Source organism: Homo sapiens, chromosome 10 (genome assembly GCF_000001405.40).
Source record: "Homo sapiens chromosome 10, GRCh38.p14 Primary Assembly".
NCBI lineage: Eukaryota > Metazoa > Chordata > Mammalia > Primates > Hominidae > Homo > Homo sapiens.
In genome coordinates this window covers 131,241,443-131,255,151 of record NC_000010.11, presented here as the reverse complement: position 1 = coordinate 131,255,151, position 13,709 = coordinate 131,241,443, and the positions used below count along the sequence as shown (strand labels likewise).

The window sequence follows — 13,709 nt, the reverse complement described above, 5'->3', positions numbered from 1 at the left end:
GTTGTCCCTTCCTTCCTGCTGGAAGCACTATCTTCTCAGGACTCTCTGAAACCACACCCTGCTGGTGTTCTGCCCGGGGCATCTCTGCACAGATCTCTCTAGCCTGGTGCCTCCTCTCCCACAGTGTTCCATAGATAAGAATGAGGCCGTCTCCAGCCCAGCCTCTGCCTCCTCCTGGAGCTCTAGGTTGACGGATGCAACTACCTCCACTTCCCAATGAACCCCTCAAGCCTCACCGCTCTATAAGGAAGTGTTGATGTCCCAACCCATGCTTCTGTTTATGGAAATCAAAACAAAAACACTTGTTTCTCCTGTGGTCTTTCAAGTAAACCTTTTTCACCCCCTGCCACAAAGACTCTCCAGTTCAGTACGTTGCCCCGGGTCTGCCCAGGAGTTCGTGCCTCACACCAGAGGTCGTCCTGACGCCTCCTTTTGCCTGATGCCTCCTCTCCAGCCCCTCGGCACTGCCGTCCTCCTCCCAACCCACACCGAGTCCACGGTGCCTCCTCCTCTCTTTGCCCACCTTCCTGGTCCAAACCAAGATCTGTGGACTGAGGCTCTTGCAAGTACTTCTGTTTCCACTCTGCCCTATTTTCTGCAGAGGAGCTGGAGTTCACTTCTCAAGGACCTTTGTCAGGCCAAGTCTGCCCTTGCTTACAGCCCCCAAGGAGCCAGGCGCAGGGGCACCACCTGTAGTTCCAGTTACCCCGGAGGCTGCGGCTGGAAGATCCCTTGAGCTTGGGAATTGGAGTCCAGCCTAGCAACATAGTGAGACCCCATCTCTAAAAATAAATAAGTAAATAAAAATAAATAAATAAATCAATACTTACTATATATATATATATATATTTAAATCCAGTGATTGCCTGCTCTGGAGGTTAGAACAAATCCCAACTCCTCTGGAGTCTGGGGTCACTGTCTGTGTGACCCACCTGCACCCTTACTTCCTGAGCAGCCCTCCATTTGTCCCCCAGGCCTGATGGTGCCTTCCCAGTCTGTGAGGCCAGGGCTGCCCCGGGACCTTCACACGGCCGGCCCCTCTGCCTGGACGCTCTCCTCCACCCCCTGGTGTCTCATGTGGCCAGTGGTTCCCCCACTGTTCAGGCCTCAGCTCCAGCACGTGGCCCGAGTCCTCCCATCCTGAAGTGGCCCCTGGAACGAACTCCTTCTCCTCACTGTTGCGTTTGCTTTTCAGCATTTATCATCGCCGGCAATTCTCTTCGGTGTCAATTCCTGGCCTATCTTCTCTCCCCCACTGGCATGTCACACCCTCAGGGGCAGGATCCTCCCATATCTATTCACCACTGAGGCCCTGGTGCCAGGAACAATTCTTGGGACAAAGTTACCTCTCGTTGACTCTTTGCTGATTGAACAGCATCCAGCCACACCTGTGCACTGTGGTTAGGACCCTCTTCAACGATGCTCTGGCGTGTTGGTCGACAGTTCTCTGTGTTCTCTATGAGATGGTGCAGAGATGGCTGCCCTACTCCGCAGACCTTCATCGCACACCCACCCAGCCCAATCCTAACAAACAGACAAACACAGTCAGGAAGCGTTCAGCACGGTGAATGCCACGTCACCCAGCCGCTGAATATGCTGGTCAGCTCAGCATTAACCGGAATCTCTGATGGGAAGCTCAGGCAGAGAGTGAGGTGATCGTGACCCAGTCACCACAATCTTTGGGGATTCGAATTTCCCAGAATCCAAAATTTTCAAGCTGAAAGGCCTGTGGACTCTGGGCAACCGATTCCATTACTGAAAGCTGGGGGGCAGGGTCGAAGGCCACTGAAGACCAGTTTACCTAAATCCCAGTACAAGTGAGGGGCAGAGTGAGGGCGGGACTCAGCAATCCTTTTCCGAGGATTTTCCCAGGATGTCGTTCTTCTGCACCATTGTCAGTCCCACCCACCAGCTGTCATTCCTGTCCGTCTATAGAGACACGGTGCTCAAATCAATCACCCGGTGGCTGCGATGGTGGCCGGGCTCCTGGTGCTGAAGAGACACTGGCTAACTTCAGCTGGGTCCGCCTGGCAGGCACAGGCCAAGAGCCCATGAGAGGCTGGATGCCTACTGTGCTGAGGACCCTCAGGGACAGTCTGTGACCGGCCCAGCAGGGAAGGCGCTACGGCCTCAATCAGGCACATGGCGGTACGTGCTGCCATCCCCGGGGGTCCCTGTGGTCTTCAAGCAGGGACCAGATTTAGAAGTGTGCCTGGAAGGAGGGTGGGGAGATAGTTGGTCTGTAGACAGATCAGGGAGGAAGGAGTCACCCATGGCTGCTTTAATGAAAGCATCGTGCAAGGAGGCTGGTCACTGTGCAGATCATGTTGCTGTAACCACAGACAGGACATGTCATAGTGTACTCACTGCAGCAGGAGCAGCAGCTGCTTCCCGGGACAGGCCACTTTATTTAATTTGTGATAACAGCACTGTTGGAAATAGTATCCATGGTGGGTGGCTGTCAGAAGTGGGGAGAGTGACATGTGTTTCAGGACTCGGTAGAGGAGGCGGTCCCTGATGGGCGCTCGTTGGAGACGGCTGGTCTGCAGCTCACACTGGAGAGTCTTCCGGTCCCAACACTCAAATAGACGCGTTTGGTGCATGAATGAAATCCGTGCCCTAGGGGAGGACAGCCTGTGTTCAGGAGCATGCAGGCCTGTGTTTGCCCAGGGGTCTGGATGGGAGAAAGCTGACATTCAGGCCCATGTTCCATCCAGGGGTCTGGGTGGGAGAAAGCTGACATTTTGCTGTCCATACTTAAACTCTAGAGACCATGTGGCAGTTGCTCTGAACGAACATCCCTAAAGCAACATTGGTGCTTCAGAGTAGCTCCAGCTGTGGACAACCGTGTGGCAGGTCCTCAGTTACACATAGTATTACCATGTGACTCACCCATTGAAATCAGGGTCTCAAACAGCTATCTGTGCACCCATGTTCATAGCAGCATTATACATTTTCCCACAAATGGTGGAAGTGATCCGAGCGTCCATTGATGGGTGCATAGATAAAGAAAATGTGGCATATCTATATAGTGAAATATTATTCAGCCTTAAAAAAGCTGGAATTGCTGGCACCTGCTTCAGCATGGAAGAACCTTGAGGACACGATGGTCAGTGAAACAAGCCTATAGGATTCCACTTATCCGAGGTCCCCCATCGGATTCACAGGGACAGATAGTAGAAGGGTGCTTGCCAGGGACTAGGGGAAGAGGAACAGAAAGTCATTGTTGAACCAGGACAGTTTCTGTTTGGGAAGGTAAAATAGTTCGGAGTGTGGATGGTGGTGACGGCTGGCGTTAAGTACTGCCAATGTGTTTAATGCCACTGAACTGTATACTTCAAGATGGTTGAGACAGTAAATTTCATGTTATGTATATTTTACCACAATAAAAACAATAAGAAAAGGAGGCGTGTTCTCATATGCACATGAATGAAGTTTATCTGAGGGACCTTGGAGAGGGTCAGAAGAACAGCATTAAGTAAGAAACAGTGAAAACCTCTTCCTGCTTATACCCTTCATGGTGCCTTCCATTTCTGCATTTCCTCTGATCAGCTCTGCTAATGGCCTTTCCAGCGACCGGATATCTGGCCACATCAGCAGTCCGGAACACAGTAGAAGCTGAGGTGTAAAGAGGAAAGGAGGCCCAGCAGCTTGGGTGAGGGTGGCTGGTGCAAAGGGCATGTGCTGTCCTGGAGGTGGCTGGCAGACTGGGTGGGGTCTGCAGAGAGCAGGAGAGAGCAGGGCCTGGGGGCTGGCCCGAGGTCTGTGACTGCAAGGATTCGCAATGAAGGAAGCAGCAGAGGGAGAGGGGCTGTTCTGAGCTGGGCTGGGAGGAGGGGCCGGGGGGAGGGGGCAGAGAGTCAGGACTGGCTCCCAGCACAGGCAGGTAGCCCAGTGAGCTGGGGTTGCTGGCCTGGGCAGAAGGGCGTGGGAGTGGTCAGGGCCACGGCAGAGCTCCAGGGGAACGAAGAGGTGGCAGTGTGGAATCTGACACCTCTGCTGTCATTGTGTTTCCTGGAATTTCTCAGTGTCTTGAAAGGGGCACCATACAGCAAAGATGAGTGGGTTCCCTGAGACGGACCCACGGCCTGAGAGCGTGATGATGTTCCGACAAGCCGGAGAATTTGGCTGGGCCCCAACTCTCCCAGGCATGAGCCATCTAGAAGCACAGGTGGGAAGCGGAGCCCAGTGTCGGTGGTGAAATGAGAGAGCTGCAGAGGGAAGGACTTTATGTGTCTGGCACGTCCTATGTCACATGGAGCCGTGAGAAAGAGGAATGTGGCTTGGGAGACCACCCAGCTAAGGAGACCCCATGTGTCAAATGCTCTGCGGGCAGCTGAAAGTTTAGTCAGTGTTTATGACCAGAAGGCTGAGTGAGCTCATAGCAGGCAGAACTTCTCACTCCCTAAGAAGTCAACTAACAGGGCGCTGGGCTCCCGGGCTAGGAGGAAGAGAGGCTAAGAGGGTGCTTTAGGGCAGGCCCCGGGCAGGCACTGCTGTCCACCATTTCACTGTCCCATCCCTGCTGTGGCTCAAGACTGGCTCCACTCACATCTAGGCAAGCGATGAGTGACAGCCAGGACTCGGTTCACAACCCATGTGTGTCTCCTCAGGATTCCCTGCGTTCGTGGAATGAGATTCCCCAAGTAGGATATACCGGCCACCATTCCCTGTGGAGGGTCTGATGCTATTGAAATGATTAGCGCTGACTTAGAACCCCGAGGAAAGAAGTGGAGAAGCATAAATAAGAAAAGGAAAATAGCCCACGATCCCTCCACCTCACTTGAACATCTGCAAACCTCTCAAAGGCTCCCGCTCGGCATGTGAGTGACAGATTAGCCTGCGTCTGTGAGTCCTCATCTCGCAGGAAGCACTAGCAATTTCCTTTTACTTCTTTAAGATTATGACCCTCCAGGCCACTTGCAGAAACCCCAGCCAGTCTCAGTGTCTGGTGATTCTCCTTGACAGCCTCTGGGAGGATCTGCAGGGGAGCGAGGTGGGCTCTGCCAGCCCCCGTCAGGCGTGCACGCCGCATGCAGCTTCATGTGAGTCGGCTGGGCTCCTGCCTGGTCTGTGATACCTCCTTGGTGCCCCGTGACTCAAATCGTGTGGCTTTATTCCTCCAGGGTGTCCCTGGCTGCCCCGAACAGTGTTTGCTCTTGCGTTCTTTCTGAATGCTGGGACAGGTGTGTGCTCCTTTCTGGGAGCAGAGCTTTCTTTGCTGGGAGGAGACAGTGTTTGAATTATTCTGTGAACAAGCAGAGAGTGCTGCTTTCTCTCCCCAGGTTCTTATTTGCCAGGCGGAGTGCTTTTGTTTCCCTGCAACGATTTGAAAAGGAGGGGAGCACAGCCTCGGCTGCTCAGGTTAAGCAAGCCAGTAATGCGTGAGCCAGCGAGTGTGGCCGTCGTACCCATGGAGCGCCCAGCCAGGTAGAACCAGGAGCGGGAGAGTGGATATGTGATTCCAGTTTAGACTGGTGATATATATTTTGAAAGTTTGCACAAGTAGAAAGAAAGCTTACTTCTGAGGCTTTCAAAAAAGAACAAAATTTATGATAATTACAACAAAAAAGAAAGAAACATGCTACTGGGCTGCAAGGACCCCAGTGTGCGTTTGCCATGGCTGGAGAGGGCCACTGTCCTCCAGGGACTCAGGGATGCTGCTTTAAACAGCTGCTGGGGACCCGGGTGGAGCCACTGTCAGGGCCGTGAAAGCCCCTACGCTGGGGTAGCCGGGTGGAGCCATTGTCAGGGCTGTGGAAGCCCCTATACTGGGGACCCGGGTGGAGCCACTGCCAGGGCCATGGAAGCCCCTATGCTGGGGTAGCCGGGTGGCTTTCCAGAGCTTGCTGTATTCCCTTTATTTTTCTTCAACAGTGATATTGCCTCTGCTAAGAAGGCAGGAACAATCACTTATATCTGCTTAAGACAATGGACTGTAGCACAATGCAAAGAGTAAACCTGAGCTTTTGTAAATAAATCATTTTGTCCCAGCCCCCACCTGATGAATCAGTCAGCCGCCCCACTTTTGCTGAGTCCCTGCTGGATTCCCAGCATCAGGCTGGGTTCTGGCTGTTTACAAGTGAGCGTGAGAGGGAACCTTTTCCCTTAGGAGGATTCAGTGCCCCAAGTCAGAGGCATCGCCTCTGTGCACCAGGTCAGCTCCATCCCATCCTGCCTCTCCCCGGGGCGGCTGGTCCTGCCGAGGGCGGCCTAGGGCACCATTCCAGGGATGGGCATGACCTGGAGGGCTGGGCACCCCCAGTCAGAAGCCGACTCTGAGACAAAGACTGGATGCGAGCACCGGTTGGGGGGGCTGTGATGGGAGCAGAAGGAGCCTCTGCCGGGCATGACACCCCATGGCACTGGGGCTCAGCTCTGCCGGAGACTTGGGCAGAAAGCCTAGTGCATGTTGAGAGTGTCCCACTCAGGGAGCAAAGCTATGTTTTTCCCAGTGACTCTCAGCTGCATGTGTTTGAGGGCAGCACGGGGGCTCTCATTCCCTGTGTTCCTGCCTGTCCCGAACTAGGCTAAGATGGCCCTCCAGCCACACACAGCCCAAGGCAGAGATAGTCTAGGGGGTCACGGGAAGAGTCCATTGGCCTGCGTGGGGGAGGCAAGGCTACGGGAAGGTACTGGGCACCAGGTGTGGCTGACGGGTGGAGTGTGGCCCTCCGAGCCAAGGAGGGCAGAGAGAGAGAGAGAGATCAGCCTGGTGTGCTTTGTGACTTAACCTCTCTCAAGGTCATAATTAATACGGCCTCAGTGCTAGGGACATGGAGACCTTTCTGTCATTGTCCTGGCTCTGACATTTCCTGCCAAGACCTGGGTCCAGTCCTGGGTGGCATCTGTGTCGTGTGTGTGTGTGTGTCCTGTGGGTGTGTGGGTGTGAGTTTATCAGTGTGTGTGAGTCGTGTGTGTGTGAGTTGTGTGTGAGAGAGTTGTGTGTGAGTAGTGTGTGTTTGTGTGTGTCATGTGGGTGTGTGGGTGTGTTTACCAGCGTATGTGTGTGTCGTGTGTGTGTGAATTTACCAGTGTGTGTATCATGTGTGTGCATGTGTGTGTGTGCATATGAGTCATGTGAGTATGTGGGTGTGAATTTACAATGTGTGTGAGTTTACCTGTGTGTGTGAGTGTATGCATGTGTGTGTGTATGTGCACCTGAGTCATGTGGGTATGTGGGTGTGAATTTAGTGTGTGTATGTGAGTTTACCTGTGTGTGAGTCGTGTGTATGCGTGTGTGTGCGTGTGTGCACCTGAGTCACATGGGTGTGTCAGTGTGAATTTACAGTGTTTGTGAGTGAGTGATCTGATTGAGGCCATGGCAGGAGGCAGGGGAGAGGTGGTGCTGCTGGTGGTGGGGATGGAGAGAGAGCCTTGTTTGAGAATCAGGTTTGAGAATCATTTGGAAAAGGGTAAATGGACCAGATGTGTGAATTGATCAAGGATGGATGATGGGGACAGAGAAGGGAAAGTTCATCTCCTCTAAAATCTCTTGGGTGTGCTGCCACCATTGAGGGTGGTTATTCTTCCAGGGTTCTTTTCACCACATGTGTTCTATCTTGTCCTTCTCACCATCTGATAACTCCTCTGCCACAGAAGCCTTATCTCACATTCATAAGCCTCAGGGCCTCGACCAGGGGTGGGTCTTGCCAGAGTTCAAGAATCATTTGGTTCTTGACTGAGGACACTTAAGGAAGGAGCTCCTGGGGACAGAATAGGAATTAAACCCAGCCTGGGGCTGGTAGGTGATGCTGATCTACATATGCGTGTTTCAGAATGTGATAATGGTAGAAAGGAAGGCGAGGATATAATTTGCTGTGGGGAATGTGTAAGACTTGAATATCTAATATTCAATTTATAGTAATTAATGGAAACTAATATACACATGCAAGCCACTTTGTGTCTGCCCAGCACAGGGTACCTTTGAGTAGGCACAGCATGGGCAACCACCTCCAGTGAAAATGTGTCCGTCGCTGTGTGTGGTGTGGATGTGTGCCTATGTGTGTAATTCAGTTTACTTTCCTGTTTTGGGATGGCACTGTGGCACCTGGGCTTGGTGGCTGCTGAACGAGCTGGCATACTCCCCTCCCTACACATCTCACCCCACCAGCTTGGGAATCTGTTGTGCCGCAGCGCCGGTGTCGTGGGTGAGAGGGCGCCTGGGCATACTCCCCTCCCTACACATCTCACCCCACCAGCTTGGGAATCTGTTGTGCCGCAGCGCCGGCGTCGTGGGCGAGAGGGCGCCTGCTATTTGGTTTGAACTCTGAGTCTCAGAGTCCTGTCCGCTGAGTGTGCGGCCCCCACCTCTATGCTCCCGGCAGGGGGATGCCTTGTAGGGGTGTGTGGCTGGGAGGCCGTCTCACTTCTGGGGATGGCCCAGCCTCAAGGCTGGAAGGTGGCTGCCCAATTCCTCCTCTTTGGACCAAGCTCCTTTGCTACGGACTTCTGCCGCATCCCTGAGTCATCCCGGAGTTCTGGCTCAGGCAGGCACCCACCACGGAAGGAGGAGCTCCCTGTGGGGTGGGGTGGGGTGCGGTGGGGCAGGGGAGGGAGAGGAGGAGATTCACAAGCCCCTAACTTGTCCTCTGTTTTTTGCCGTTCTTCTCCAACTGGGAAATGCCTCCTCTCATCATAACTTTCCGCATCCTTGTGGAGACTGTAGTGTGCTGTCCCAGTCATGTGGGGCCTGCCCTGCCCACCTCCCAGCCTCCATCACTGGGTCCCACCCTGGCCTGACCAGCAGACCCCTCCAGGTCCAGCATGGCCGCCCTCTCCAGCACACACCTGCCCCTCTTCTCTCCTTGCTCAGCACTTCCTGAGCCTCTTGGCCCCCAGCCTTCCTTCATGGTGCTCGCCATGCTTCTGGCCAACAATTGCTCATCCTCCAGCACTCAGCTCGTGCCACCCCCAGAAAGCCTCACTGAGTGCAGCCACCCCTCTGCCACTGTCATGCACGAGGTGCCATCTCCCTGCTAGGCTTTGAGCCACACAGCCAGGCTGAGGTGCAATCCCCCCTCCAGCCAGGGGATGGGCCCTGTAGCCAGGAGGTGCCCAACCAAGGCTGTGGCTCTCGTGAACCCAGCAGGGCTGGTTCTCTGTGTCTCACCAGAGCCTCAGTGTTTCCAGAAGACCCGACACTTGGGGGGCTCTCGGCCTCTGTTTACCCCGTCATTCCCATCAACTCAGCAAGGGCCCTGGACCTTGCTCCCTGGCGCTGCCTGCTCTGGGAACTCTTTCCACCTACACTCCCATCCACCCGAGGCCTCTGCCACCCAGGCCCTTGCAGGACTCCTGGCCAGCCCTTCCATGAGGCCCTGCAGCCCACCCCACAGAGCTCTGATACAAAGGCCCCGTGCGCACTTCCCACCCACTGCACCCCTCCCGCCAACTCCGAACTCGACCAGCTCTTTATGAGGATGATACACTAACCTGTACCGAGGAGCAGTGGCAGGAGCCCCTCGGGAAGGTCCCTGCCTGTTCTGGGCTGTCGCCACTGAAGGTTACCAGAGAGCCACATGTGGCGGCGGCCTGTGGGCAGGACACGTAGTTTCCCAGGGAGGACCGTGAGCTGCGGGCTTGGTCATATTTCCTGTCGCTGCCCCCGGAGAGCCGCCCCCTCGTTTTGGGTGGAAATGCAGAAGGCTGGAGGGAGGGAAGCCCTCTTCAAGGGAAGTGACTGTGGGCTTTTAGGAAGCTAATGTCGACTTCAACTTCTCAGTTTTTTTAAAAAAAAAATTATTATTTTAAACCAATTAACAAGCTATGATGTTGGCTGTTATTCCCAGAAATAATTTATCATAAACAAACTCAGAGAACCCCAAAGAGGTAGGCCTGGCCACGCTGCCTGGTGGATTAAATGCTGTAATTATCATTGCTCCTGCAGGCTCCTTTCATCTCACTCTTTAATTAGGTTTTGCTGACACTTTCTCTGGTGTGTGTTGGGGTCACAGTGCCCTGCTCTGCACACTGGTGGCAGCAGTACCAATGAGACCTTTCAGGAGCTCAAAAGATCCCACCAGGCTCCCATCAGCCAAGATCTGTGGCCGGGGGCAGGGTAGCAAGCCAATTTCTTGGGTGGAGCTGGGCTTTGTCCAGGTGCCTTCCAGCAGCTGAGGGGCTCCCCCACTCCCCTGTGCCCAGCACACTCCCACCCAGTCCCCCTGCAGCATCTGCCTATGTTACTGATGCTCTTCCTGTTCCCCAGTGTCCTGGGCAGGAAGACACCTGGCCCTGCCTGTGCTCATGGACATGGGATTTCACAGTTCCCTGCCCATCTAGGGGGTGGTGGCATGGAGACTCTAGGCAGCTGCTGATGTCTTCTCTCCCTGGGGGACACCTGGGCCCACTAGTCCACGGCACTGTTGAAAGTGCGCAGGTGACTTCGTCCACAGGTAAAACTCTTTCAGCCTGGGCCAGGATTTCAATGGCTTTGAGCTCTGGAAGCCCTCCCCAATTGGCCATCCTAACCAGACCCTCCCCAGGGAGTTCCACGGCACCCTGGGCGTTACTGAGACCGAAGTCCTGGCCATGGCTGGAAGGGGCTACCACAGGGAGTGAGAGCTCACTGCTGTGTACTCTGGAGACAAACTCTAACTGTCCCCTCCACCTCAACCATGGGGGCATCACACTTCTTGCAGTTTCTTCCAGCGCACCTTAAAGAATCTTAGCCAGCTGCTGAGAGGCCCCTCCCCACCTACTCCCAAAGCACCCCCACTCTGCATGCTCCACTCTCCCAGGGCTGCCTGTTCTGAACGTAAACCTCCCTCTCCCCTGGATGAACTCCTTGAACCCCCGGATGAAAGCACGTGCCTGTTCCATGTGGGTGCACCTGACACTTCTGCTCCTGGCATTTCTCATGCTTCACGGTCACACTTTTTCATACTTATTTTTACTCATGTGCCTGTACTCATGGAGGGAGATGGCTGGTGATGAGCAAGGGCCTCCTGCCCCAGGACCCCGGGCCTCCACCCCACGGGCAGCCTCTTCCGATCGATGCACTTTTATTTTATGTCTTGCGTTTTTGCGAGTTAACTTTTCCTTTATAATTACACAGTTGATATCTTGATCTCTGGGTGTGTCAATTTTAGACAATGGCTGTTGACATCTTGTGAAAGAGGAAGATAGTTTTCGTTGTCTGTTGCTGCACAGCCGAAACCTTAGCTTTTGTGGGACAGCAAACCATCCCCAAATAGAGAGCTTCTGAATAATGGCTGTTTATGTAGCTCACGATTTTGTGAATCTCCAATTTGAGCTGGGCTCAGTTGGACAGTTCTTGGGCTTTTCTCAGCGACCTATCTCATGATTTTGTTATTTTGAGCCCAGCTCAAATTGCTGACCCACAAGTCACGAGCTAATAATGTGTCCCTTGTGCATCAGGTCATCTGCCATTTTGCCTGGTGGCTGACTGGCTGAAGATGGTTGTCACTTACTTGCGTCTTGGTGAACAGAGGGTGTCTGGTCACGTGCCTCTCACATCAGGACCATGTTTCTCACATCAAGGTTGCAGGGTTGGTTTTAGGAACGACAGAGAGGACAGCCGCAGTGTGCATGTGTATTATTTGTTTGTTCGTTTTTGAGACAGAGTCTCACTCTGTTGCCCAGTCTGGAGTGCTGGAGTGCAGTGGCGCAATCTTGGCTCACTGCAACCTCTGCCTCCCGGGTTCAAGCCACCCAAATAGCCAGGATTACAGGTGCATACCACTACACCGAGCTAATTTCTGTATTTTTAGTAGAGACGGGGTTTGCAACGTTGGCTACGCTGGTCTCCAACTCCTGACCTCAAGTGATCCACCCATCTCGGCCTCCCAGAATGCTGGGATTGCAGGTGTGAGCCCTCACGCCTGGCCATGCCTGCAGTTTTTAAGCCTCTGCTTATGTAACATTCACTCCTGTCTCACTGGCCAGTGCAGGTCCATGGTGAAGTCCAGGGTCAGCGTGGGAGGGACACTCACAGGGCGTGAGTGTGGAGAGGCAGGAGCGAGTTGGCGATTGTTATTATCGTGCAGGCGAACCAAAATCTTGCACAGCCCCACACAATGGTATTTTCTAACTTTAGGTATTCAGAACTAACTATTCTTTAAATAAATCGTAATGTAAATAAAACAAGCCCCTCATTCTTCTTCAGTAACATGATGAGTTTCACAAAATGGTGACCTTCTTTTTTATAACACGTGGAGATTGACGTCCCTATTTCTTCAACTTTCTGAGTCCTAACTTCTGTCAGTTAACACTTTTCCCTTTCTGTTTTCAAGGGTGTTCATAATTATATTCGCTTTTACAGGGACCACCAGATTTTCTAGTTTTGTTCCTAGACTGATCCTACAGGTTAATGAGTCAATAAATAAACACACAGACACAGGTGCAGCATCCTCATCCAGAAGGCTCCAGTGAGCTTCTCTTCTGAGCATCCTGCTGTCACTCAAAAAGTCACAGACTTTGGAGTATTTTGGAATGCAGATTTTCAGCCTAGAGATGGTCAACGAGTATGTATTTCTGCAAGTATTTCAAAGCTGGAAAAAAACCCTGAAATCTGAAACGCTTCTGGTTGCAAGCATTTCCTATAAGGGATACTCACTGTGTAGGTTTTCAACAGTATAATTAAGTAGATGTTGTTCCCTTGAAAGTCGCTGGTGCCGTGATTTAGTATCAGAGTGAAACCCGCACCTTGACCACTCTCTGAGTGCTCCCAGTCATGCCACTCTGTCGTTTGCCCAAAGATTAGATGGTGACTTTCTTGTGCACTTCTGCCTGTTCGTCCAGCCAGTCCCCATTTTCTTTCTCTTACACATTGCCAAGATGTTTTTCACATTCTTCACTGTACTTTTCTATTCTATTTCTCGTCCTTTTTCCCTGGAGGCCCCTCACTCCTCACAGCATCCATATTCTAGATGTCTATACTCTCAGCAGCTCCTCCTGGCGGCTGCAACGCTGGAACTTCGTGCCATTGCTCTGCTGGCTGGGAGCCACGTTCCCCGAATGTATTATCTCCACCTTTCCCAGTTCACAATCTCACTTGCTGGAGCACAGCCAGAAACAACCTCCTAATAAAAGTATTCCAGATCCCTTCGGTGTTGAAAATTCTGTTCTTGCCCTTCAAACTTGATTGATAGGTTGCCAAGTTGTACAATGTTACTTTGAATTGTTTTCCCTCAACATTTTAAAGGAATTGCTCTACTACCTTTTAAAATCTGACCCTACCATGAGAGAGACTCACTGAGTTTGTGTTACTGTACAGGTGACTTGTGTTTTCTTTCTGTAGAAATGCTGCGGTAATTGTGACCGTTTTATCTCGGATGTTCAGTGATTTTCTAATGACATCTAGACATTTTAAAATATTAATTCTGTGGAAACCTCCATGGGCATTTTCAACCCAAAGATGCATATGTGTATACATAAGCATGTATATGTATACACATATACATTCCTGCTGTTAATACGTGTTCTATATTATGTTTTTATATTACGCTATCCACTGTGTTCATGCATGTCCTCTCTTATGCTTTTATATTGCGCTATCCACTGTGTTCATGCATGTCCTCTCTTATGTTTTTATATTGCGCTATCCACTGTGTTCATGCATGTCCTCTCTTATGTTTTTATATTGCGCTATCCACTGTGTTCATGCATGTCCTCTCTTATGTTTTTATATTGCGCTATCCCCTGTGTTCATGTTGCGTATGGACGATGCGTTGCATGTCACGCAG

General features: G+C 52.2%; 1 protein-coding gene across 2 annotated transcripts in view, besides 5 other annotated features; it reads left to right on the top strand.

The window, feature by feature from the left end:
* TCERG1L (transcription elongation regulator 1 like) overlaps positions 1-13,709 on the top strand; it is a 219,331-nt gene that overhangs the window by 56,570 nt on the left and 149,052 nt on the right. The gene's annotated exons all lie outside the window — the stretch shown is intronic.
* Positions 1,598-2,098: an enhancer, noted in NCBI's record as "H3K4me1 hESC enhancer chr10:133051317-133051817 (GRCh37/hg19 assembly coordinates)". NCBI's record gives its function as "activates a minimal SCP1, AML or CMV promoter by ChIP-STARR-seq in naive H9 embryonic stem cells {active_cell/tissue: H9 hESC(naive)}" and the evidence as "EXISTENCE:reporter gene assay evidence [ECO:0000049][PMID:30033119]".
* Positions 2,099-2,599: an enhancer, noted in NCBI's record as "H3K4me1 hESC enhancer chr10:133050816-133051316 (GRCh37/hg19 assembly coordinates)". NCBI's record gives its function as "activates a minimal SCP1, AML or CMV promoter by ChIP-STARR-seq in naive H9 embryonic stem cells {active_cell/tissue: H9 hESC(naive)}" and the evidence as "EXISTENCE:reporter gene assay evidence [ECO:0000049][PMID:30033119]".
* Positions 3,805-4,376: an enhancer, noted in NCBI's record as "H3K4me1 hESC enhancer chr10:133049039-133049610 (GRCh37/hg19 assembly coordinates)". NCBI's record gives its function as "activates a minimal SCP1, AML or CMV promoter by ChIP-STARR-seq in primed H9 embryonic stem cells {active_cell/tissue: H9 hESC(primed)}" and the evidence as "EXISTENCE:reporter gene assay evidence [ECO:0000049][PMID:30033119]".
* Positions 4,377-4,948: an enhancer, noted in NCBI's record as "H3K4me1 hESC enhancer chr10:133048467-133049038 (GRCh37/hg19 assembly coordinates)". NCBI's record gives its function as "activates a minimal SCP1, AML or CMV promoter by ChIP-STARR-seq in naive and primed H9 embryonic stem cells {active_cell/tissue: H9 hESC(naive and primed)}" and the evidence as "EXISTENCE:reporter gene assay evidence [ECO:0000049][PMID:30033119]".
* Positions 4,949-5,521: an enhancer, noted in NCBI's record as "H3K4me1 hESC enhancer chr10:133047894-133048466 (GRCh37/hg19 assembly coordinates)". NCBI's record gives its function as "activates a minimal SCP1, AML or CMV promoter by ChIP-STARR-seq in naive H9 embryonic stem cells {active_cell/tissue: H9 hESC(naive)}" and the evidence as "EXISTENCE:reporter gene assay evidence [ECO:0000049][PMID:30033119]".